Source organism: Homo sapiens, chromosome 8, assembly GCF_000001405.40.
Source record: "Homo sapiens chromosome 8, GRCh38.p14 Primary Assembly".
NCBI classification, from domain to species: Eukaryota; Metazoa; Chordata; class Mammalia; order Primates; family Hominidae; genus Homo; species Homo sapiens.
In genome coordinates, this window is record NC_000008.11 from 1,150,853 (window position 1) to 1,177,972 (window position 27,120).

A 27,120-nucleotide genomic window follows, 5' to 3' on the forward strand; every position below is an offset into this window, starting at 1 on the left:
ACCACTTCTCAAATAAGTTTTTCTGACTTTAAAAATAAGACAGACATGAAAAATATATGGAGTATTACTTTCTGAGATAATCATTATTATTTGGATATAATTATTTCTGTTTTTTGTATGTTTGCAGGCACATGTATGAAACACACATACATACATATGTAATCGTTATGCTTTGTTTTTGATTTGGTCCTCCACTTTCTTTTTTCATTGAAAACGATGTTAACATTTTGATATTTCATTAACATTTTTTCAGATGATCATCGGTAGTGACTGGCTTCTATCTCATGGATGCGTTTTTATTCACTTAACCACGTCCCTGCAGAGGAAGAAAAACTTTTCCTCTACCCTCTTTCATTTTTCAGCTGGAGTCTGCCAATTAAACTGACAAAAGATAGATTCATAGGAGAAAAGTCATACACATTTTGCTTGATGTTAACATTTTTACATGCACAGTAAAAATGAAAAGAAGCTCCACAGTAAAAAGTGAAAAACTCAGAGGAGCAGGAGACTCAGGGGCTCATAGGGCACTTTAACAAAGGGTAACACGATGCAGAGAAGTCACTGTACAGAGGAAAAGGACCTTTGGCCTACGCGGGGGCAGCTTTGGGACGGTGAACACGTGCGAAGATGAACGGGAGAGGAGGGTTATCTTAGTAAGGCTTGTTTGCAGATCCTCAGTGCAGGCTTTCCGTCTCTGACGATTCCGGTTGTTCTTTGCCTGGTGAGGGAGGTGAGGGGCACCTTCGCAAGGGGAAATGAGTGCACTGGCTTTAGGTAGAAAGGAGGAGGGCAGAGAGCTCTTCCGGTGCCTGTGGTTTCTCTCTTGCCTTCAGCTCAAAGCGGTGCTTAGGCCAAAGAGGCCGATTGTCAGGTGGCGTCGTCTCATCTTCTCCATCCCCAGGATCAGGCATTTAGGTTGTTCTGTTTACACGAACTACTCTTTGTACTGTTGCAGTCAACTTATTTTTACACAAATCTTTGGCTTTCTTTCTGGTTATTCCATTAGAACAAACTATTGGAAGTAAAATTAAGGGTCCAATACCATAAACAGCGAAGCGTCCTGATATGTAAAGGCTGATTGCTTTTCTGGTTGTTGGAATACATGTTGGTTCCCACAAGACACCTGCGAGTAGTTTTCTCACCTCAACCTCACTAGCATTGAGCTATAGTTCATTTTTAATGTTTTCCAAATTAGAAGATGACAACTATATTCCATTTTAGTTTGCATTTTTCTGTTTCCTTGAGAGGCACAGTATGTGTTCAAATATTTACTGGCTATATTTCTTCTGTAAATTTTATTTGTAGACATTTATCTATTTTGCTATGAGAGTGTTAGTGATTTTCTTATTGTTTCCTTCGAATTCTTTATATATTGTTGATACTAATACTTTGTGACTTTTAGAAATATGTTTGCATTCAGACTTTTGCCTTTTTATTTTGCAAATGCCATTTTTAACATATGTAAATTGTGAGGTAGTGTTAAATTTCCCGCTAGAACTACCATCATTAAAACACAGAGTTTGATGGAACGTGTTGCCTCAATGCAATGACACTAAGTATTTAAACGGGATGAAATAGAGTCTCTGGAGCTATGAATGACTGGAAGACTCTTCCTTCCTTCAGTTATCTGGTCATAGTGAAATAGGAAAATGTATGTTCATTCCTCTCCCAAAGGCCCTTTTTTGTATGACTTAAAAAGTGCAAAGCAGTGAGTAAGGTGGTGGTTGATGGAATGATGTCATGGGGGGCCCAGCAGGGGAGGTTTGGGGAGGGAACTCCCAGGGGTGCCTGCAGGGCCTCCTAGGATGCGAACTTGGGTTTGGGGAGAAATGGGTCTTCCACCTCTTGGCATCATCACTGTCTTAAACATGCTTGCTTAGAATCAGCTTCCTCCCAGATGCTGAAGCTAACGGCTATGTCTAAAACCAGATGGGCCAAACCTACATCACATTTTGCCTCTTAGTGGCTCTGTGCAAAAAATGCTGCCGTGTTCTTCCACAAAACAGCCATTTATCTTGCACACCATTTGCTTTGGAAACTAGAACTTAAGCAAATCAGCATCTTTTTGCAAAGTATGGAAGCACGCCCACTCAAACATTTTTCCTCTCTGATGTATTTGGCACTATTAATTCAAGCTATTCTGTAGAAATTTAAAATGAAACTTACCTCCTTTACTCATGCTTAAGATTCTTTTAAAAGACAGGAAATGCTTTTATTTCAAGAAACTACCTTTGAGAGGCCTTCTCCCCCTGCTTTGACCCACCCTGACTTAGTGCATTTCCACTTTTCTTCCTGCAAAGGGCCTGACCCCTCAGTTTCCAGGCTCCGAGCGGTGTGGCAGGCAGAGTGGTTGGTTCCTCATGGTCTGGCCAGAGAATCATCAGTCTCGATCTGAACATGCCCAGATAATTGGGGTCATTTTCTTCGGAAGGAAAAAAATCAGCTTTTGGCACTGGCTATGCCTAAATCATAACTTGCCTACCTCAAGAGCTATAAAAGGCAATTTAGTCGGGCTTCTAAACACGCCTCTTTCTAGTCACTGATTTAATTAGTGTAGAACATGGTACAGTTCACTCTTTCTCAGCAGTGTGTACCGTAGAAAGCTTACCAGTCGCGTGATTATACGAAATCCTTTCCCCGCTAATGAATCCAGGAACACATTCTACCAATGTTGATGTATATGGTGCCCACCGAGTTAATTAACCTGTTTTTATCCTCTTTTTCATTAGAGTAAAATTATCAACTAACATTGTGAAAGACACAAACCAATATTTTTTAGACTTTTCACAGGCGTATCAGAATGTGAGTCTAATGAGAACTAATTCATCAAAACTAGGCTTTTCCTGCATTGCCAGACCATTAACATTATTTTAATGTCATTAGCTCTGCTTAGCGGCAGACATTTGCAGTCATAACTGTTAGGAAACACAGCGTAATGTTTTGCAGATCTCATTTCAGTGGTAAAATTTCACCACCTAAGGTCTTGATAAATGCATCTAGCACTTTCCTTGGCAAAAATATTACTGACATGAAAATCAGTTCAAGTGCACTGGACCCCAGAGACGTTTTTCTGTCTCCTCCCCTTTCCTAGGGGGTTTCATGTTTGCAGTGATCTTATTTTTCAGTAATTTTCTTTTCTTGTGTTTTCCTTTCAAAAATAACTTTATTGAAAGGAAGCAAGCATAAACAAGGGGAATATGGAAGAAAAGAAACAAGCAAGCAGGAAAAAGAAATAAGGAACTAAAAATGTGCATACATGGATATGCACCAGTATCAAACCAGATGGCTTCATGTGGATATTGTAAAGATCGAATGCCTCGAGGTAATGTAAGGGGTAATTGTGAATCACTACGGCGTCGTCCAAGCAAAAGGGAAAAGAGAAAATGCCTTGCAAAGCAAATGACACTAATGTCAGGTTTGAAGAGCTGAGTTACTGACCTGGGGTGAGTTTGTGAGATCCCCCAGCACAGCAGAACAGCCAGGACCAGGCGTGGAGATGTGCCAGTATTTGCCCCCAAACGAATACATCGAGACACGATTTTATCCAGATGCCCCTCTCTTCCAACTGATCAAAGTAGTAGGTGTCACTCACTTCTACCGTAAATTTGTGCATATTAATGATTTCCCTTATTCAAAGACAAGGCAGGGAAAATTGATCAGAAGAAAACTGAGAAACTAAATTAAGCAATTTTTCATTTATTTTCTGCTAAGTTTCTTGTTTCTTTTCTTCTTTCATCGCAATCACAAGAAAAGACAGAAATAGATTAACCATCCATTAAAAACCCCAGCAGCCAGTTACACTGCCACGGAAGAGGCCGGGACTAGCTTTCCAGGCCCCTCCGCAGTCGAGGACCGAGCTGCCTTTTCTCCCGGAGTCGGTCAGGATTTCCAGTCCTTACTGTGGCCGGGCACCCTCTATAGTCCTGCCGTCCATCCCGCCCTAAAATAAGACTGTGGGCCTGACAAAGGCCCGGGGTGCCTTGGAGTTAGGATTTCAGCTGCCGCTCTGCTCTTCCACCCTCCAGTGTCTGCTACCTGGACGCGCAGTGTCCTCGGCCTACAGGAACCATGTCTCTCTTCTTACTGTTTCTCCTCACTGCAGCCCCTCACCAGGACGTGAATGGCTACTTCTTCCCGGGCCTTGTCCCTCCCTCCCATCCTGCTTCTGTTCCCACTCATTCTCGCAGGCCTCTGCCTGGGCACCAGCACCTCTCACCCTGGCCACTGCCTTCGTCGGAGGGGCCGTCTTAAACCCTGCCTGGGTCCCGTCCCCTGGGTATCCCTGGGGCAGCGGCTGGCCGGGTCCCGTGTCCCCTGCGTCTCTCCTCTGCCCAGCACACACCAGGGTTTCTAGGAACGCTTGCTGGATGAGTGAACAGATGCGTGAATGACTTGTCGCTTCTTCTTCTTGTGGCTGCACTCCGTCTTCCCGGAGGGAGTGGTTTCCAACACGCTTTCTTGGCCTCTCTGGAAAGTCCCACCGCTTCCTGCGAGGGGCATCCGGGCTGGGGGGTCTCCCCGGATGGTCTCCGAGTGGAGCTCTTGCCAGGGGGCTGCTAGCTGGGATCGCGGCGGGCGCACCGGCTTCCCTGGGAGTCTTTTAGCAACCTTAGAAAATTCACTCTCGGAATCTTGGAGGGAACTTTTCTAAAGAGTTTCCATGGCAGGAGGCTGTTGACGACAGCATATGTGATGTGTGATGTGTGATGTGTGGTGCAGGCTCGCAGGTTGCAGGGTAGCCCCAGCTCTCACCACATCTGGCCGGGGTTTTGCTTCGCGATGGGCGCGGTCTTTCCGGACTCCGAGACCCCCAGGCCCCTCCGAGGCCCCCAGGCCCCTCCGAGGCTTCCCAGCGCTTCTCACTTCCCCGTCCGCGCGGGCTGCGTCCCTGGAGCGCGGGGCCTTGGTCGGTGGGGCTGGGACGCCCCGGTTCGGGGGCAGGTGCTGCAGGCATTCGTGGAATGAACACACGATCTCGAGTGGGCGAGCGGCGTGTGTGGAGAGGAAGATGAGGAAGGACGCGCTGTCTGCATCCAGCGGCGGGGGAGGCCAGTATGCAGAGGCCGAGGGAGCTTCGGGGCTCGGGGAGGCTGGGTGGGCGTCCCGTTCCTGCGCTGCCCCTGACGGAGTCCCCGTCGCAGAGGGCCTGTGGGCCGGTGACTTTCTGCAGCTGCTGCTGCGTCCCTGACACCCGCACGGCTGATGCCCCTCCCGCCATTAAGCAAGGAAAGCTCTTGGTACAGCCGAGCCCTGTTTCAGGGGCCGCAGGTGCAGGGGCTTCCCTAGGAGCCTCCCCTGGGCTTGGCTGTGTGTGAATCACCGGGGCTGCAGCTCTCAGACCCTCCCTCTGCCGCCGGGAGCGGCCGCTTCAATGAACCTGAAACCCAGGACCCGGGTAGGTCTCCTCCTCCTTCCCGTTTTGGCGCTGCTTACCCAAGGAGAGCCAAAGCCACTCCTGAGGAGAGGATGGGAGCTGCAGAAGCCTGGTGGCCCGGAGGAGAGTTGGGGAGGCGGCGGTGGCCTCACTCTGGACGCCCCTGGGTCTGGCCGTGGGCCGTGGCACACACAGTGTCCCTGTCAGGCCTCACACGGTGCCAGGCCACACGCTCACGTCTCCATCTCACCTGCCTGGGTGGCACAACCCGTCACACAAGAAGTCAGGCGTCTTTAGGAGTGGCCCCGACTCCCCCAAATCCCGGCCACGCTCTAGCTCAGCGCCCCTGCTCAGCCCCCCAGCCCAGCGCCCCAGCCTAGCGTCCCAGCCCAGCGCCCCAGCCCAGCGCCCCGGCTCAGCGCCCCAGCCCAGCGCCCCAGCTTAGCGTCCCAGCCCAGCACCCCAGCTCAGCAACCCGGCTCAGCGACCCGGCTCAGCACCCCAACTCAGCACCCCCGTTTGGTGCCCCAGCTCAGGATCCCCGGCTGGTGCTGACGTCTCCTTTTTGCTTTGTTCCCAGGTGGCATTTTTCATCCAGCTTCATTCACACTGAGAGAGGTTGGTAGAAAGGTTCTGATTTCCACGCGAAGATGAGGAGGCTGACTCAGGAAGGCCCTGCCGTCCACTCAGGGTTCCCAGTCGGTCCATCCTTGAGTTCCTTGTCTTCACCGTGCTTAATTCTCCACTGTTACAGCTCCTCCCCCGAGTCCCCTCCAAGTTTCAGGCAGGCCAGGGCCCCAGGCTCTCAGTGGTACCTTCAGAGGAAGCCTCTGAGGGACTCGGTGGTGTCAGTTAATTACAGAAGTTTTGACAGACTTTGGTTTATCCTTTGGTCTTTCCTGGGCTTGTGGATTTACTGGTGACCGCGGGGAAAAGTTCTCTCTCTTTAGCTGTGATCAGCCTGTGGGTTCCGTACCCCGTGTGTGAAGCAGTTCCCGGGAGCATTCACGCGATTCCCCAGACACGCTGGAGGATGTCCTCTCGTGGCACAGATGCGGGCTGTGATGTTCAGAGATGGCCTGCTCAGCCATTTCACCGATGGATGCACTTCCAGCGACGACGGCCCTCAGGGAGTTCGAGTCCTCTTGAGAACTTGTTGTTTTTAAGAGTACATGCTAGGAATGGTAGAATCATAATTAGAAACCAAATTTTGCAATGTTTTTCATTCCCTTTCAGTCTAAAGTTTTCATTCCCATCTCCCAGCCCCTGAAGACCCATCTTAGATTTAGACTAAATTACGTGGGCCTTTCAGAACCAATCAGGCTGTGCTCTGTGTCCCGGCTCCCAGAGCAAGACCAGCCAACGGTGGCGCTGTGTTTGTTCTGGGGCTGTTCTCACCTGTGTGTCCTCTTTGGCAAATGTACTGTAGGAAGATAATTCTAAAACTCTAATACAAATAATAATAGGCTCTTAATAAAAATAACACATGGCACCATGACAAGAGAACGTCAGCCACCCACCTATGCGTGGAGCTTCGTCATTTGAAAAGCCTTTTCAACACAAGGTCATCCTGGGATCGGAGGGAGGCGATGAGGGCACTTCCCATTCACTGAGCACAAAGCATGTCCCAGGCGCTATCTCAGATGCTGCCGGTGTTCCGTCTTGTTTAGTCTTCTGGGCACCTTGTGTACGTCAACAGTTATCATCCACACTGTTCACTGTGCCTTCAAGAGTATCAGGAGTTATACAAGAGACAGATTCCAGTTTTACAGAGGAGAATCCTGGGCACCAAAGTGGTTAAATCATGGCCCACCCTAGCTTATGGCACTGTGCAGCTGCACAGCTGCCCCTTGCAGGTTCTGCCTGAGCATTTAGTTTTTCTAATAGACCATGCTGCTTCGTATTTACAGCTATTAATCTAAAGCTCATGTAACTCAAACATATTTGGTCAGCCTAAATTTGCCAGTTTGAATAAGCTATATAATGATTTTGTGGCCAATATAACTTTTTGAATTAAAATGAGGCAATGTAAAAAATTGCCATTATGGTGCATTATACTGAGGAAGCAGCAGACGTCATTATGTGCGTACATGTATCTGTGTGTTATATGTGCATGTATGTATGTACATATGTAATCTAATTCCCTCAGTAGACAGTGTGTGTGAAGATGTTTTATTGACTTATATTTGAGATTGCCAACTTTTACTGTATGCTTGATTTGCAATTAGTGTCACTATACCTTGGATCATTGGGGTTTATTAATGTAATAATTATACCTTTCCAGTGGTGTGTATGTGAGTGGCTTTCTAAAGATAGTGTTTTCCTATATATAAACTGCTCTCTTTTCATGGCTTTGGACGATACCTGTGAAATGAATGGTTTATGTGGAAGCCCTGTATGGTGCCAGGTTGTTTGAACCCGCAGACGGCCGTTGCACTCTGTGTTTAGTGAGTGACGCCGTCCACGGCAGCTTTGACCTTTGTGGGCTGCGCACCCAGAGCCACGCGGGTCCTGGTGGCTCCGAGTCACACAGACCCCTTGAAGTCTCCTCCATGATTCTGTCCACATCGACAACTGCACAGTTTTTTTTCTTGTGTGTTGGTCACTTTGGGGACCCCGTTAGTGGGATTCTTACTTCCTATTTTCCAAAGGACATGCTTAGAGGGTTCGGCCTGACCAGTGGAACTGAAAATGAGTAAAATCAAAGGAAACTTGCATGGACTGACCCCTCTTAAAGGTACAGAACTTTGTATGTTTTTCTCTTCCTTTCCCTGTATTTCTGCAGAGATGAAAACACTTTCTTGTTAACCTCGATGTCAGTGAGCTTTACCCAGGAGCCACACTGCTCTGTTACCCTTGAGGAGGGAAGAACGTAGACCTGGTCATTTGACACCTTTAAGGGATTTGTGTGATCCTTGGAAAGATGTCTGATAAAAAATACAGACAAGGTTGAGGTCTCTGCATTTAGTCAAAGCTATTATAAATGTGAGCAATTGTTTTGGTTCTTGTTCCATCTATGAAATCAAATTACTGCTTTATCTGTCTCAAGAGTCTCCTGTTGTTTAATCCTTTAAGGAAACTTGTAATTAAACAATGTAAGAAGAGGTATAAGGGATACTGATTTTGATTTTCAGGAAATCGTTTACTTTCAGGACTGATTTATTCTGTGGGATCAAAAATGCATCTCAGAGCCCAGGTTAGTGAGATGTATCGTATGTCGACAATTAATACGCAGTTATCAGAGTTCCTTACGTATGGAGCATTGCACTTGGTTTATGGAGACACTGGATTTTTAGTTATTAGAGTTTTTACTAAGATGTGTTCTAAACAACTCACGAAGCAGCACACTCTTCTGTGTATTTTTCTATCTAGATTTGTACAACAGAGAAAGAATACCTGCATCTATCAAAAATATCTCAGAATGGAAATATTGGGATACTTTGGTTATTTTATATACATTTTCATTCCGCAGATGGCTGGTGCAGTTAGTTATACGGAGTTTGAGGCTATACGATTTCAGTCATACATTGAAAAATACTAGTGAAGTATTCAAGGAACGAATGAAAAGTTGCTCTGTGTTTATTGATTGATTACCTGGAACAAGGTTGAACACAGCCCCCGCAGGGGTGTCTGTCTACAGGCCCCCCAACCCCTGAAGGAGGCATGGACACCAGGCTGTAGAATGCTGCTCCCACCTCCCTGTGAGATTAGAACAAAATTTAAATAAGCATCACCTGAAAGGTCTTGGCGTTGTGGAGGCGTCTTTAAGTGTGAGGAGGCAGCACCACCTGCACGCTGTTTGTGATGACCGTCGTCGTAAACTGAGCCCCCACGGCACCTCACAGGCGGAACTTCCATCTCCCACAGCCCGGAAGCTGACGCCGCGGCCCGTGGGTTCGGAATTGCTCTGAATCGCTGTGCACTATTTGGCAATGTAAAACTGAGGCTGCTACTTAGAAGTAGTCAGTTCACCGTAGAAAACACCTGTATAAATAGCACAGTTTTTCAGCTGGGTGGGGACCTAGGCATGGAACCACGGCTTTGACATGCCCTCGGCAGTCAGTGATTGACAGGTCCCGTGCCTGGTTAGCAGGGTCCTTCTGGAGAGTCTGAGGATCAGCCCCGCCCCAAACTCGGGGCAAGGAAGTGCTGGTCTTTGCCTTAAGGTTTTCTGGGATGTGGGCGCGGGCGTGAGTGTGCACGTGTGCATAATTTTCTCTAGCCTTGGAGGTGCTTTTTATTCAGCTAGGGGAGTCTTTTGTGGTCATTTTTTCGACTGCAGACTGAGAAGGACGTGGTCCACGTGTTTTTGCTTTGGATGCCTTTATCTTACACTCATTATTTTGCCAGTTTGGGGAGTAGCAACTTAGTTCTATGTACAGGCCTTGGAGGAGATGGCTGCTCTCCGCTGGGCCCCATTCGTTTTTACTTAAATGTGTGTGTAATGAGGCTAACTCCAGGACAGTGCGGACCCTAACATCAGCATGGTGCAGACCACAAAGTGTAAAGCCACCCCGAGCCTGGCTCCTTCCATGCAAAGCCTGGCGAGGAAGGCGAGGAAGCCTGGCAGGGATGGTTTTTTCACCACCTCGAAGACCAGCACGCGATTCCGCCTCTAGTTTGACTGTTTTTGTTGTTTAAATCTGAGTCTAGCAATCAGGTAAGTAACTAAAGACTGGCCGTCATCTGGGTTTTTCACCTAAGGAATTATTTTACCCCATAGCTGTGGCAAAAATAGCCACCAAGATGTTGGTGAATGTATTTCATAATTGGATACTATTCTAATGCATTTACTTATATCCAACTTATTCCTGAAGGTACTTAAAAAATTGATAAGACACTTTGCCTATTCCAGCAGGTTTACTTTTATGGCTGTTATTACTAAATTATCAGCAGTGAGGAATAGAAAACGGTCTTACATTTATTAACAGTTTGCATTATGTCAGCTTGTAAACACATCGATGTATCCTACTATGCAGAGATGTCTTTGTGGCTGGCATGGATAGAACCATCAGCTGGTTTTAAATACACAAGCTGACCACACCAGCCCAGGGCCTGGTGTGGAACAGGCATGAACTAGGTGTTGTAGGAAAGGAGATGGTAAGTGGAAAGGCGGGCTTAACGTTTTACAGGCAGGTGGAAGATTTCACTGAGCTTCTCAACTTCCTGATCAAAGGTTCTCTCTGGAACAGAGATCAAAAGGCTTTAAATGCTGGCAGAGGGCTCAGCGATCTTGCAAACTGGCCTAAGAGTGAGGGACAAATTCTGTTGGGATGTGTGGGGGCCGGCACAGGGAGAAGACCTCCTAGCAGACACACACTCACATTTCAGGTAGAAAATCGGCGCCTTCCCAAACTCCGCTCCACAGAATGAGCTGATGAGACTCGGCCCTGGAGTCATGCACATGGTGGTGGGGTTTGAACGCCTGTAGGGAAATGGAGCCTACCTAGGGCTCACACCAGGGGTCCATGTCTCTGTCTCAGGGCACGTATGGTCCAGCCCCGTGGAGCCGTCCTGTGTAGATGAAGCCTCCCCCGGGTGCCATGGTGCACCCACGGGGCTCCTGGAGGCCTGCTGGGGATAGACAGAGGCCACATTGGTGCCTCTTGGTGGCTTCCTGTGCTCACGGCCTGCAGGTGCCCTCTGGAGCACAAGCTCGAAGGAGACGTGGTTCCCACCCTTGGGGCTTTAGGTATAGAGAGGAGATCCGTGTGCCAAGTCAGGGGTGCGTCAGAGTCACCTGAGGGCCTTCCTGCTAGAATGCAGGTGCCTGGGCCTGGCAAGATGCACTGGCTGGACCAGCGGCCTGTGAGGGGAGCCCGGAGCCTGCGTTTGCAGCAGAAGTTCCAGCTGATTCTTATCTCATTAATGCCCGTAAGCCCGTGGGGCAGATTCCACAGGAGGCTACGGAGGCAGGAAGCCCTCCCGGCAGCAGGGGCGGCCAGTGCTGCAGAACTCGGAGGCGAGGGAGGCGGCGATTCATCCATTTTGAATGGAGAGTGTCGTTATTCATTTATTCATTTCACAAATATTTGCCAGTGTTTACCCTGCACCGGCGTCTGCGTAGGTGAGTCTGACTCCATTACATGTTTGTTTCTAGCCAGCGTGAATTGAGCAGTGGCTGAAACAACACACACTGGTGGTGGAGACGTCTTAGGTAGAAGAGAAAGAATATTGTTTTCAATAGGAAAATGCATCAGTTAAAGCAGTCTGTTTCTACTCGTGGAAGAGAAATATGCAACTCACTGCTAGCATCACTAGGAACAGAGACCATAAATACAGAGAAAATTAAGCAGGTTTTAAAATGATCAAAATATAAACTATCCAGTAGTCTGGTAATAGTCAATGACATTCAGAATAAATGATGTGCAATGTGAGCGTGCATAGCTTGAAGTTCCATCTTAGGGCTTAGAAGGTTGAGTGTTTTCTGGATATATTTTTATTTCATAATATTAATTCCATAATATAGTTTAGTGTGCAAACAGCCCCAGGGAGTGACTGGGAAGATTCAGCCATGGAGGCTGTGTCCGTTGTCTGTACTGTGTCTGTTGTCTGTACGGCGCTGTGGCCGCCAAACGGCCCAGTTCTGATCTCGGGAGGTCCCCTGGGTGCTGCTGTGGGCAGATGCTAGCCCCGGCACGGGGGCACCAGAAGAGGGTGCTGGGCTGGGGTCCACGATGGCTTGTCCTCCGTTTGCTCAGCTGAGGGGGCTGCCATCTGGGGAGGAAAGTCAGAGCTTGGTAGAAGGCACCTGAGGCCCTCAAGGAATCCCATCCACCTGGGAGCTTTGGTGTTTGGTGTAGGACTCCGAGGTGAGGCCCTGGAGTGTGAACGTGGAGTCCTCGGCTGGTAAGAGGCCCGGGGCTGCGGCGTGTTGGGGTGATCGTGTGTCTTGTCCCCTCCTCCTGTCCTCCGTGGCCAGGACGCACGTGCACTGAAACTAGCGCCAGTACCGGAGGCCACTGACGTGTCTGTGCCAGTGAAAAACTGACGATGGCAGCTGCGCCTCCTCCCAATCGCCTCCCTCTGGGGAGTCCCCTGTTCTGAGATATTAAACTCCCAGACGGGACCACGCGGGCTGTGCCGCACCCCCTGCCTGCTGCCGGCCTTCCCGGGGTGTCGTGTTCCCTTCGCCTCCGCTCAGCGGGTCCGCGGTTCCGGCTGGAGACGGGCGGCCCCACGCTGGGCGAGGGGAGGCCTGTGTCCGATGCTCTGGGACCCTTCCCTGCAGGAAGCAAACTCTGTGGATGCCAGTGACAATTATTTATTCACCAAGATTCCAAAGACTCGGGAGCTGTAGGATTTGGGATTCATTAGCGAGTGTGAGCAAGGTGCTTTTGGGGCAGAGAGCTGCGTGAGCCAAGAACGCGGTTGTGTAACTGACCCCGGAAGCGCAGGGCCCGGGAGAGGCTGCAGGCGGCCGCCTGGGGAGGGCCGGGGATCGAGAAAACGCTTCAGGAGCTGCTTGTAATGACTGGGCACATTCGGTGGTAATTGGTGTTGGTGGGAGTAACGCGGCCGCCGCGGGTGCAGGACTTTCCTGCCTTCTGTTTTCTAAATGGCAGCGGTGAGGAAGCAGCTGCCCGCGGGGTGTGCTTGGGTACGGAGGCTCAGGAGCTCTGCTCAGCACTGCGGCTGCCGACACGTCCTTGCTGTTGGGCTCCCTTCAGGAGAGAAAGTCCGGCGTCCGCGGGCCCTGGCTTCCTCCGGGTGAGGTGGTGGAGCCGCCTGCCAGGCCTCCTAGACGAGAGCCCTCTAAGACTCAGTGTTCAGGGTTTTTCTTAGACGAGACGCTTTCCTTCATCTCCTCTAGTGAGACTCGGTCCTTAAGGCTGACGCTGGCGCCGTCTTCTCTTCCCTGTGCTGGGGACAGATTTTTCTGTGAGCCCGCAGGGCCCGTCATTTTGGTTTGTGGGGATTTTTCTGTGAGCCCCCCAGGGCCCGTCATTTTGGTTTGTGGGGATTTTTCTGTGAGCCCCCAGGGCCCGTCATTTTGGTTTGTGGGGACAGATTTTTCTGTGAGCCCCCCCAGGGCCCCTCGTTTTGGTTTGTGGGGACTGATTGTGAGCCCCCCAGGGTTTGTTTTTGTTTGTGGGGACAGATTTTTCTGTGAGCCCGCAGGGCCCGTCGTTTTGGTTTGTGGGGATTTTTCTGTGAGCCTCCCAGGGCCCGTCGTTTTGGTTTCTCTGGAGCTGCGATTCAGCCCCATGTGAAAGTCTGGAGGCGATGGCCTGGCTCTCACTGGCTGACGTCCTGTTGGGGGAGTTAACCAGGTAACCAGGTTGGGCGTGTGGGAACTTTCCTCCCTTCCCGGTGGTGCCACGGATGCTGCCCAAGTACTTGTGGGTCATATTCTAAGCCCAGATGCCACAAAGCCCAAGTCAGAGGGAAGAGCCATGCTCAGAACCGCCAGGGCCTGTCTCTAAGGCCCTTGCCTGAAATTGAGCTGCATTCTCTGGATCTCCATCGTCAGTTCTGTGAAGTTTGTCTTTCTGACTCCTCCAGGCCCGAAACAAATGTCTGAGGTCTATGTGAAAAGTCATTCTTTCAGAGAAGCTTCCGACTGCTGCGTGTGGAAAGTGTGCGTGTGACAGTGAGAATACCAGGTCCCTTTGTCAGCGTTGCTGAGACAGCTCCAGTCTCTCTGTGGTCTCACTCTTGACCTCGTCTCCTGTAAAAACACATGCAAGATGCAATCGTGGAAAATGATAAAGTTGTTGAGCTGTAGAAACCCAAATTATCTTCCCATTAGAGAGTCTGGGAGTTGGAGACTGTTATGAGTTCAGGGATGGGGTTGGGTGTTGGGAGTCCGGGGTCCTGGCTAAAGATTCTCCTCCCTCTGGGCCGCTCCAGATGACATGTTTCCTTCCCTCTCAGGCCCTGCACTTCTGCTGCCAGATAGAGAGAGAGGAAGACAGAGAGGGGGAGAGGAAAGGAGACAGAGAGAGAGGGAGGGTGGGAGGGAAGGAGGGAGGTAGAGGGGGAGATGGGGGGGCGGGAGGAACAGAGGCAGAGGGAGAGGAAGACAGATGGAGAAGAAGGGAGACAGAGACAGAGATGGGGAGAGAGACAGGGAGAGAGAGAGAGAGCACGCGCATACAGCATCAGCCCTCAGGGCCCCAGGACCATCGGCCGTTGGCTACCAAGCGCTGGCACAGCCGGGCTCGGGTCTTAGGGGACAGGTGCTGTGATCAGAGGCTGGTTTTTCTCAAAGTGTGCATGTGTGTCTGTGCATTTGTTTTTGGTGCAAAGGGCATCGCACTAATTAATGTGTACATTTGCTCATCAGATGGTGATTTGCATGGCATGTGTTGCCAAGCCTTGTTCTAGATACTGGGATACATCAGCCAGCAAGACAGGCAGTGGCCCTTGCCCTTGTGAAATTGTGCAGTCGCTGCGTGTGACTGTTACATGATTTTCGTCTTTTTTAATTTTTAATTTTATTTGTCGAATTTACGTTTTTAGCTCAGTTTGCTGTGCAGGTGTTACAAACAATATTATGAAGATTTGCTCTTTCAGTTTTTCTTAGGAACTCTAAAATTTTACAGTTTGTATCTCCTCCTGTTACTTTAAATTTTCTTCTTTGGCTATCATTTCTTAAAAGCCTAATTTTCCCACGTTAGATTTAAGGGAAAAAAAAAACATTCAGGGAGGCTTCATAGATGTGCCACTTTTAAGATAATAACAGATTTTGTTGGTTGCTGTTTTAACCATTATCCAGTTTCTTGTAGTTGCTGTTGACTTTTTTCTTCCAGTAATATTTGGAAAAAATGTGGCTAATTATTAAGAAAACTGAATAATCTCCCGTCAGTAACCCATGGGTGCTCTTTGCCCAAGGTTATCTAAAGAGGAGGCTCTTGCCCTCTCTCAGGTCATGGCACCTTAGCTACTCCGTGCCAGGGCATCAGCCCTGTCCTTCCCCGGCCTCTTTGAGGTCTTGTTTGTCTTACAGCGTCTGAATTTATTTATATATTTTAAACAAATGCCTGCACCACATCCTTCTACCCTCCTGCTGCCTTCCTGAGTCATGGCTAATGGCCCAGTCCCCGTGCAAGATGCACCACCCCGTGCTTCCTTATTCCCGAGGCCCCGGCCTATAATTATCCTCTTCATTCAGGACCGACATCTCCTTGAAGATGTAACCAGGTTGATCATTTAATAATGCGCCATCTGATTTGACTTCTGATAGCTCAAGCTCTTACCCTCTGTTCGTCTCCAGGAAGGAGTGGGCAGAGCCTTCACATTAGAATATTCTGTTTGATTTTTCTCCTCCTTTTCACTGTATATATTGCTCCATTTTGCTGACATTTTTATAGAAGGGCAGAACATTCATGAGAAATATCCCTGCAGGTTAATGGTGTTTATTTCTCCAATTATTTTATCCTTTCTAAGAATACGGAGTCTCCTGTCAATGCCGCATAAGCATGTCGTCTCTGTTTCCAAACTTGTCTGATTTAATCACCCCACATTGTGAACGTGTATCTATCAAAAAACATCACAGTTTACCTCTCAATAAATTATACAATTATTATTTGTCAATTAAAATAAAATTTACATACAATAACAATGGTCTCTGGTAAATGTAAGTATTGTTTCGTGGTTTTCTACATATGGATAATGATAATACTATATTTAAGTAGCTTATGAATTTTGAAAGAAAAAAACACTCCTAGTGTTTGGGAGGCCAAGGTGAGAGGACCACGAGGCCAGGAGTTCAGGATCAGCCTAGGCAACATCTCTGCAAAAAATTTTACAAAAACTTATCTGGGTGTGGTGGCATGCACCTGTAGTCCCAGCTAATCTGTAGGCTGAGGTGGGAGGATCGCTTGAGCCCGGGAGGTTGAGGCTGCAGTGAGCTGTGATTGTATCACTGTACTCTAGCCTGGGCAACTGATCAAGGCACTGTCTCTAAAAGAAGAAAAAGAAAAAAACAATTTGTAAAAGCCTCCTGACTTACATGACCGAAAAAGTTAGAAGAAAAAAGCACATGCATGAAATTCACAAGCAAAGGCCCCCAAAGGTCTGACTCCATGAAATTTATCACAAACCCTCAACCACAGCAACTTCAAGAGCAGGAGAGAAGTAATTGGCTTTCTCGAGTCCAGTACACACTGCAGGGCAGACCAGTGTACCTCACAGGGAGTTGCTAAGCAGGAAGAAAAAGGCAGAGAGGGGTGAGGCTGGCAGGGCAGAGGCTGTGTCCCCGGCTGCTAGGGAAGCAGAGTTTCAGGGTTTTATGCATGTCAAACCCATGGTGTTTCTACATGAATGACTGGAATTTCAGTGTTGCAGACCCAGGGGATCTTAGTCATGAACTGCACCCTAGTTTCCTTTAATCAGATGATCATAAGTGGCCCACATTGAGGTAATACTTAAAATTATATTGCACATAATTTAACCTTGTTTTAATGTTTGTGAAAGTTAATTTCTTTAGGGTAGTAGGCACGCAATGGAATATTCTTGGTTTATGGAAATCTGGAACTTCTTAGGACATTGTTGGGCATCAGCATCCATTCAGTTGACAAACATTTGTTGAACGTCTACAGTGTCTGACACTGAGGTACAAAGTCAAGTATAAAGTACCTGGTTGAGGTCCTAAACCAACGTTCAGTAGAGGGATGTAGACAGACACGTTAGCAAGTACTTAACCTGAGTCCATTTTTTTTTATTATACTTTAAGTTTTAGGGTACATGTGCACAATGTGTAGGCTAGTTACATATGTATACATGTGCCATGCTGGTGTGCTGCACCCATTAACTCGTCATCTAGCATTAGGTATATCTCCCATTGCTATCCCTCCCCCCTCCCCCCACCCCACAACAGTCCCCAGAGTGTGATGTTCCCCTTCCTGTGTCCACGTGTTCTCATTGTTCAGTTCCCACCTATGAGTGAGAATCTGCGGTGTTTGGTTTTTTGTTCTTGCCATAGTTTACTGAGAATGATGATTTCCAATTTCATCCATGTCCCTAGAAAGGACATGAACTCATCATTTTTTATGGTTGCATAGTATTCCATGGTGTATAGGTGCCACATTTTCTTAATCCAGTCTATCATTGTTGGACATTTGGGTTGGTTCCAAGTCTTTGCTATTGTGAATAGTGCCGCAATAAACATACGTGTGCATGTGTCTTTATAGCAGCATGATTTATAGTCCTTTGGTATATGCCCAGTAATGGGATGGCTGGGTCAAATGGTATTTCTAGTTCTAGATCCCTGAGGAATCGCCACACTGACTTCCACAATGCTTGAACTAGTTTACAGTCCCACCAACAGTGTAAAAGTTTTCCTATTTCTCCACATCCTCTCCAGCACCTGTTGTTTCCTGACTTTTTAATGATCGCCATTCTAACAGGTGTGAGATGATATCTCATTGTGGTTTTGATTTGCATTTCTCTGATGGCCAGTGATGGTGAGCATTTTTTCATGTGTTTTTTGGCTGCATAAATGTCTTCTTTTGAGAAGTGTCTGTTCATGTCCTTTGCCCACTTTTTGATGGGGTTGTTTGTTTTTTTCTCGTAAATTTGTTTGAGTTCATTGTAGATTCTGGATATTAGCCCTTTGTCAGATGAGTAGGTTGCGAAAATTTTCTCCCATGTTGTAGGTTGCCTGTTCACTCTGATGGTAGTTTCTTTTGCTGTGCAGAAGCTCTTGAGTTTAATTAGATCCCATTTGTCAATTTTGGCTTTTGTTGCCATTGCTTTTGGTGTTTTAGACATGAAGTCCTTGCCCATGCCTATGTCCTGAATGGTATTGCCTAGGTTTTCTTCTAGGTTTTTTATGGTTTTAGGTCTAACGTTTAAGTCTTTAATCCATCTTGAATTGATTTTTGTATAAGGTGTAAGGAAGGGATCCAGTTTCAGCTTTCTCCATATGGCTAGCCAGTTTTCCCAGCACCATTTATTAAATAGGGAATCCTTTCCCCATTGCTTGTTTTTCTAAGGTTTGTCAAAGATCAGATGGTTGTAGATATGCGGCGTTATTTCTGAGGGCTCTGTTCTGTACTATTGATCTATATCTCTGTTTTGGTACCAGTACCATGCTGTTTTGGTTACTGTAGCCTTGTAATATACTTTGAAGTCAGGTAGCGTGATGCCTCCAGCTTTGTTCTTTTGGCTTAGGATTGACTTGGCGATGCGGGCTCTTTCTTGGTTCCATATGAACTTTAAAGTAGTTTTTTCCAATTCTGTGAAGAAAGTCATTGGTAGCTTGATGGGGATGGCATTGAATCTATCAATTACCCTGGGCAATATGGCCATTTTCATGATATTGATTCTTCCTATCCATGAGCATGGAATGTTCTTCCATTTGTTTGTATCCTCTTTAATTTCACTGAGCAGTGGTTTTTAGTTGTCCTTGAAAAGGTCCTTCACGTCCCTTGTAAGCTGCATTCCTAGGTATTTTATTCTCTTTGAAGCAATTGTGAATGGGAGTTCACTCATGGTTTGGCTCTCTGTTTGTCTGTTGTTGGTGTATAAGAATGCTTGTGATTTTTGTACATTGATTTTGTATCCTGAGACTTTGCTGAAGTTGCTTATCAGCTTAAGGAGATTTTGGGCTGAGACAGTGGGATTTTCTAGATATACAATCATGTCATCTGCAAACAGAGACAATTTGACTTCCTCTTTTCCTAATTGAATAACCTTTATTTCCTTCTCCTGCCTAATTGCCCTGGCTAGAACTTCCAACACTAGGTTGAATAGGAGTGGTGAGAGAGGGCATCCCTGTCTTGTGCCAGTTTTCAAAGGGAATGCTTCCAGTTTTTGCCCATTCAGTATGATATTGGCTGTGGGTTTGTCATAGATAGCTCTTATTATTTTGAGATACGTCCCATCAATACCTAATTTATTGAGAGTTTTTAGCATGAAGTGTTGTTGAATTTTGTCAAAGGCCTTTTCTGCGTCTATTAAGATAATCATGTGGTTTTTGTCTTTGGTTCTGTTTATATGCTGGATTACATTTATTGATTTGCGTATATTGAACCAGCCTTGCATCCCAGGGATGAAGCCCACTTGTTCATGCTGGATAAGCTTTTTGATGTGCTGCTGGATTCGTTTTGCCAGTATTTTATTGAGGATTTTTGCATCAATGTTCATCAAGGATATTGGTCTAAAATTCTCTTTTTTGGTTGTGTCTCTGCCAGGCTTTGGTATCAGGATGATGCTGGCCTCATAAAATGAGTTAGGGAGGATTCCCTCTTTTTCTGTTGATTGGAATAGTTTCAGAAGCAATGGTACCAGTTCATCCTTGAACCTCTGGTAGAATTCGGCTGTGAATCCATCTGGTCCTGGACTCTTTTTGGTTGGTAAGCTATTGATTATTGCCACAATTTCAGCTCCTGTTATTGGTCTATTCAGAGATTCAGCTTCTTCCTGGTTTAGTCTTGGGAGAGTGTATGTGTCGAGGAATGTATCCATTTCTTCTAGATTTTCTAGTTTATTTGCGTAGAGGTGTTTGTAATATTCTCTGATGGTAGTTTGTATTTCTGTGGGATCGGTGGTGATATCCCCTTTATCATTTTTTATTGCATCTATTTGATTCTTTTCTCTTTTTTTCTTTATTAGTCTTGCTAGCGGTCTATCAATTTTGTGGATCCTTTCAAAAAACCAGCTCCTGGATTCATTAATTTTTTGAAGGGTTTTTTGTGTCTCTATTTCCTTCAGTTCTGCTCTGATTTTAGTTATTTCTTGCCTTCTGCTAGCTTTTGAATGTGTTTGCTCTTGCTTCTCTAGTTCTTTTAATTGTGATGTTAGGGTGTCAATTTTGGATCTTTCCTGCTTTCTCTTGTGGGCATTTAGTGCTATAAATTTCCCTCTACACACTGCTTTGAATGTGTCCGAGATTCTGGTATGTTGTGTCTTTGTTCTCGTTGGTTTCAAAGAACATCTTTATTTCTGCCTTCATTTCGTTATGTACCCAGTAGTCCTTCAGGAGAAGGTTGTTCAGTTTCCATGTAGTTGAGCGGTTTTGAGTGAGTTTCTTAATCCTGAGTTCTAGTTTGATTGCACTGTGGTCTGAGAGATAGTTTGTTATAATTTCTGTTCTTTTACATGTGCTGAGGAGAGCTTTACTTCCAGAGTATGTGGTCAGTTTTGGAATCGGTGTGGTTTGGTGCTGAAAAAAATGTATATTCTGTTGATTTGGGGTGGAGAGTTCTGTAGATGTCTATTAGGTCCGCTTGGCGCAGAGCTGAGTTCAGTTCCTGGGTATCCTTGTTGACTTTCTGTCTCATTGATCTGTCTAATGGTGACAGTGGGGTATTAAAGTCTCCCATTATTAATGTGTGGGAGTCTAAGTCTCTTTGTAGGTCACTCAGGACTTGCTTTATGAATCTGGGTGCTCCTGTATTGGGTGCATATATATTTAGGATACTTAGCTCTTCTTGTTGAATTGATCCCTTTACCATTATGTAATGGCCTTCTTTGTCAACTTTGATCTTTGTTGGTTTAAAATCTGTTTTATCAGAGACTAGGATTGCAACCCCTGCCTTTTTTTGTTTTCCATTGGCTTGGTAGATCTTCCTCCATCCTTTTATTTTGAGCCTATATGTGTCTCTGCACGTGAGATGGGTTTCCTGAATATAACACACTGATGGGTCTTGACTCTTTATCCAATTTGCCAGTCTGTGTCTTTTAATTGGAGCATTTAGTCCATGTACATTTAAAGTTAATATTGTTATGTGTGAATTTGATCCTGTCATTATGATGTTAGCTGTTTATTTTGCTCGTTAGTTGATGCAGTTTCTTCCTAGTCTGGATGGTCTTTACATTTTGGCATGATTTTGCAGTGGCTGGTACTGGTTGTTCCTTTTCATGTTTAGTGCTTCCTTCAGGAGCTCTTTTAGGGCAGGCCTGGTGGTGACAAAATCTCTCAGCATTTGCTTGTCTGTAAAGTATTTTATTTCTCCTTCACTTATGAAGCTTAGTTTGGCTGGATATGAAATTCTGGGTTGAAAATTCTTTTCTTTAAGAATGTTGAATATTGGCCCCCACTCTCTTCTGGCTTGTAGAGTTTCTGCCTAGAGATCAGCTGTTAGTCTGATGGGCTTCCCTTTGTGGGTAACCCGACCTTTCTCTCTGGCTCTCCTTAACATTTTTTCCTTCATTTCCACTTTGGTGAATCTGACCATTATGTGTCTTGGAGTTGCTCTTCTCGAGGAGTAGCTTTGTGGCGTTCTCTGTATTTCCTGAATCTGAATGTTGGCCTGCCTTGCTAGATTGGGGAAGTTCTCCTGGATAATATCCTGCAGAGTGTTTTCCAACTTGGTTCTGTTCTCCCTGTCACTTTCAGGTGCACCAATCAGACGTAGATTTGGTCTTTTCACATAGTCCCATATTTCTTGGAGGCTTTGTTCGTTTCTTTTTATTCTTTTTTCTCTAAACTTCCCTTCTCACTTCATTTCATTCATTTCATCTTCCATCGCTGATACCCTTTCTTCCAGTTGATCACATCGGCTCCTGGGGCTTCTGCATTCTTCACATAGTTCCCGAGCCTTGGCTTTCAGCTCCATCAGCTCCTTTAAGCACTTCTCTGTATTGGTTATTCTAGTTATACATTCTTCTAAATTTTTTTCAAAGTTTTTAACTTCTTTGCCTATGGTTTGAATTTCCTCCTGTAGCTCGTAGTTTGATCGTCTGAACCCTTCTTCTCTCATCTCGTCAAAGTCATTCTCCGTCCAGCTTTGTTCGATTGCTGGTGAGGAACTGTGATGCTTTGGAGGAGGAGAGGTGCTCTGCTTTTTAGAGTTTCCATTTTTTCTGCTCTGTTTTTTCCCCATCTTTGTGGTTTTATCTACTTTTGGTCTTTGATGATGGTGATGTACAGATGGGTTTTTGGTGTGGATGTCCTTTCTGTTTGTTAGTTTTCCTTCTAAGAGACAGGACCCTCAGCTGCAGGTCTGTTGGAGTTTGCTAGAGGTCCACTCCAGACCCAGTTTGCCTGGGTATCGGCAGCGGTGTCCGCAGAACAGTGGTTTTTCGTGAACCGCGAATGCTGCTGCCTGATCGTTCTTCTGGAAGTTTTGTCTCAGAGGAGTACCCGGCCACGTGAGGTGTCAGTCTGCCCCTACTGGGGGGTGCCTCCAGTTAGGCTGCTCAGGGGTCAGGGGTCAGAGACCCACTTGAGGAGGCAGTCTGCCCGTTCTCAGATCTCCAGCTGTGTGCTAGGAGAACCACTGCTCTCTTCAAAGCTGTCAGACAGGGACATTTAAGTCTGCAGAGGCTACTGCTGTCTTTTTGTTTGTCTGTGCCCTGCCCCCAGAGGTGTAGCCTACAGAGGCAGGCAGGCCTCCTTGAGCTGTGGTGGGCTCCACCCAGTTGGAGCTTCCCGGTTGCTTTGTTTACCTAAGCAAGCCTGGGCAATGGTGGGCGCCCCTCCCCCAGCCTCCCTGCCGCCTAGTTTGATCTTAGACTGCTGTGCTAGCAATCAGCAAGACGTTATGGGCGTAGGACCCTCTGAGCCAGGTGCAGGATATAATCTCCTGGTGCGCCATTTTTTAAGCCCATCGGAAAAAGCACAGTATTCGGGTAGGAGTGACCCGATTTTCCAGGTGCCGTCTGTCACCCCTTTCTTTGACTAGGAAAGGGAACTCTCTGACCCATTGCGCTTCCTGAGTGAGGCAATGCGTCGCCCTGCTTCGGCTCCCGCACGGTGCACGCACCCACTGACCTGCGCCCACCTCTGGCACTCCCTAGTGAGATGAACCTGGTACCTCAGATGGAAATGCAGAAATCACCGTCTTCTGTGTCGCTCACGCTGGGAGCTGTAGACTGGAGCTATTCCTATTTGGCCATCTTGGCTCCTCCGCTCGATCCCATTGTTCATGACACAGCTATGCCTGGGCTGTTGTAGGGGTCATGGGAGCAGTGTTAAACAGTGACAGAGGGCTCAGGGCTTAGGGGAGATCTAAGTCGGGCTGGAACTGGGTATTGAAGGGTGAGTTAGGAATTAGGTACATTTTCCAGGATTCTAAGGAAGAAGGAAAAACAGAAAAATTGCTATTCTGCAGGGAATGTGATAAGTCTACCCACATACCCATCACCACCATCACCACCATCATCACCACCATCATCACCACCGTCATTACCATTACCAAAATCATTATCATCATTACCATTACCACCATCATTACCATCACCAAAATCATTATCATTACCATTACCACCATCATCATTACCATCACCAAAATCATTATCATTACCATTACCACCATCATTGCCATCACCAAAATCATTATCGTCATCATTACCATTACCATCATCATCATCATTACCATCATCAAAGTCATTATCACCATCACCAAAATCATTATCATCATTACCATCACCAAAGTCATTATTACCATCACCACCACCATTACCATCATTGTCGTCATCATCATTACATCACCAAAATCATTATTACTGCCACCATCATCATCGTCGTCTTTACCATCATTGTCATCATCACCATCACCACCATCATCATTACCATCACCACCACTATCACCATCACCACCATCATTACCATGACCAAAATCATTATCATCATTACTATCACTATCATCATTGTCATCATCACCACCATCATTATCACTACCTCCATCATTACCATCATCTAGACTATAGCAGCTGAGTTCTGTTTATCTATGTTTACAAAATCCTAAGTGAGTGAGGGAAAGAAGGTGAGACAGGCAGGAGGCAGCTCTGAGAGAGCTTATGTTGTTCATCACCCTTCTTATGATGATAAGAAAATTAATTCCCCTTTCTAGTTCCCCCAAGAATGAAAATTAGATATTTCCCTATAAAAGTAGTCAGATGACAGGAGAGAGTTTGGATGGAACTCAAAACTAAATTTAGTTTTCCAATAAAATTATTCTAGGATTCCCCTTCCCACACTTTTTTGCTACCTTCTGTCTTCAGATCTGGAAGAATCTATTTTGTTAAATGTTAAAATTTATCTGATGACATTTCTGCTATGGCCATAAAATTACTAACTAGTAACCCGCAGTGAGCACAGAAATGTCTTCACATGCTTGATTTTAAAAAAAAAACCTAAGAAGTGTGTTAAATTTAGCCCAATAGTGCATTTCATGGGGAAGATCAATACATGTACGTGTGGGCTTAGTTTTCTGTGAATCTCTGTAGCACATCTAATCTAAAAGAGTCCAGAAGAATATCATTAGCTGTAAAAATTACATTACCATCATAGTTGTGACTAAAATAGCCTTCATTTATAAAAAGGAAACTATTATAAAAGCATAATTTGATCACTAATATATGTACTTGGGCTAATAAAAGTTGTTTATCATGTTTCATTGAGGCTGTCAGTGGAAGGGAGAACATTGTGTTCTAGCTCTATATGCGACTCCATTAGGACAGTAGGAACATGACTAAATGCCAGTCTGTCTCTGAGAAATTTGGAGGGTGTTGGAATAAATACATCCCTTGTGTTTTGCCATGGCTTGGTTTTGTCAAACTTTTAGGGGTTAGATATCAGCACCTTTAAGAGCTCAATTCTTGACCTGCTCTGTGTGAATGAATAACTAGATCTTTGTCATTCACCCTATACCTCATCGGGAAAGTAAATCTTAATACTTATTTGGGCATGTAGTATAGAGGAAGGCACTCGGCATTGGATTTACACAAACCTAGATTAAAACCCTGTGCCCGTTGTTTATTATCCACATAGCCATGGGGAGGTCGCATCCTCCCTCTCGGCTTTGCCATCTGCAAAGTGAGGACAAAGCGATTCGCAGATGTGGGAGCTGGCACAGGGCCTATGTCATACCATCCGCCCGATAAATATTGACTGGTCCATCTTCCCAGATGGATAAGCCCATTCATACACTGCATAAAAATACTACCTGAAACTGGGTAATTTATAAACAAAAGAGGTTTAACTGACTCACAGTTCCACATGGCTGGAGAGGCCTCAGGAAACTTACAATTGTGGTGGAAGATGAAGGGGAAGCAAGGCACGTGTTACATGGCGGTAGGTGAGAGACAGTGTGGGAAATGCTGCCACTTTCAAACCATCAGACCTCGTGAGAATTCCCTCATTACCACAAGAATAGCATGGGGAAAACCGTCCCTGTGATCCAGACACTTTCCTCAGGTTCCTCGCTCCACACATGGGGATTACAGTTCGAGGTGAGATTTGGGTGGGGACACAGAGCCAAACCATATCACCAGAGTTTCTGTGAGCTCCGTTAGATCTACACTTTGGGTGTTTGTTCTGAGTATTTACATGAGATGTAGAACGATGAATGTAGTCACGAGCATTACAGCCAGAAGGAACTACACTTGGAGATCCTGCCCTCACAGCCGCCCTGTGAATTTAACTGGTTTATTGACGTTGTTCATGCTCAGGTCCCACCCATCTCAATCCAGTGCACGACAGGGGTCGTGTTTCCTTGTGGGGTTGACGGGGAAGAAGTTGGAGGCTGGGCGAGAGGGCAGGAAGGTGAAGGTCACCAGGGAGGCAGCCCAGGGCTCCGTCTGCCATGCTGCCTGTTGTGCACTCAGGTGCAGCCCCGTCTGCTGGTCCAGAAGAGATGGTCACTGGGTCCCTGTGGAAAGAGGTCTCGGTTGGAGGCAGGCCTGGTGGTCACATTCTCTCAACACACCCTCTGGCTTCTTTCCACCCTCTCATGGAGTAGCAGAGAGAGCCAAGGACTAGATATGTCACCAACTCAGACAGGACCTGCCTTTCATGCCATGGCAGCAAAGCAGCACAATTCTGGGAACTGAGCAAGCAAGTCACGGTTCACACAAGCGGTGGCCAGGCTCTGGAAACTGGGAAAAGTCAGTCCTTGAGATCATCGTTGATGTCGCATTAACACTTCAAAAAATTATACTTTCTTTGGCATATTATAACAATATAGTCAACATGGTCTAACCTGTTATACGTGGTCTAAAAGTCCCAGCCTTCGAGTGGACGCACGCACGCCCAGCACCCCATGAATGAAGAACTTTGCTGGGGCCCTTACATCTTTTCTTGCAGTTCAGCTATGCGGTTTGTCTTGTGTCCTGTGATTGTGCTTTATTTTAGATCCCTTGCCATTGCCCATATTTATTTATCTTTTCTCCGTATGTTCTTGGAGTATTTTTTGCTCAGGAGAGGCATTATATCATAAGCCTGGCTGTTTTATCAGGTTTACCAGATCGAAAAATGTGTGGTCTCCTGGCCCGAGTTCTGCCATCTGTTGTCAGGAGGCCTCCTGACTTTCCCACCATCTTTGGGCACACCGGAGCAGATGCACGAGACCCGATTCTGAATGCATGGTGTTGATGTCAGATATTAGCACCATTGTTCTGGCTTGCGATTGTGTTGCTTCATTTGTTTGTGTCTTTACTCTTAGATGACTTTTATTTCATTACATTTCAACCTCAGAGAAAATAGGCAAAGCCTGTCTTAGTCCATTTGGGCAGCTGTCACAAATACCCCACACTAGGTCATTTATAAATAATAGAAGTTTATTTCTCACAGTTCTAGAGGCTGGAAGTCTGAGATTGAGATGCCAGCAGGTTCGATGTCTGGTGAGGGCTGCTTCCTGGTGTGTAGACCACACCTGCTGTGCCCTCACAGGGTACAAGGGGTGAGGGAGCTCTCCAGGGCCTCTTACCTCATCATCTCCCAAGGGCCCCACCTCATAATACCACCACTGTGGGGGCTCCCTTTCAGCATATGAATTTCAGGGAGATGCATTCCGGCCAGCAAAGCCTTCAGGAAGCACCAGCTGAGGCCTCAGTGATCGACATCTCCAACA

General features: G+C 46.4%; 1 protein-coding gene across 1 annotated transcript in view, besides 1 other annotated feature; it reads left to right on the top strand.

Moving 5' to 3' along the window:
* DLGAP2 (DLG associated protein 2) overlaps window positions 1-27,120 on the top strand; it is a 970,849-nt gene that overhangs the window by 413,225 nt on the left and 530,504 nt on the right. The window lies entirely within an intron of this gene.
* Window positions 5,591-6,790: an enhancer, noted in NCBI's record as "CDK7 strongly-dependent group 2 enhancer chr8:1106443-1107642 (GRCh37/hg19 assembly coordinates)". NCBI's record gives its function as "activates an origin of replication core promoter dependent on BRD2, BRD4, P300/CBP, MED14 and CDK7 cofactors, with strong dependence on CDK7, by STARR-seq in HCT116 cells {active_cell/tissue: HCT116}" and the evidence as "EXISTENCE:reporter gene assay evidence [ECO:0000049][PMID:35650434]".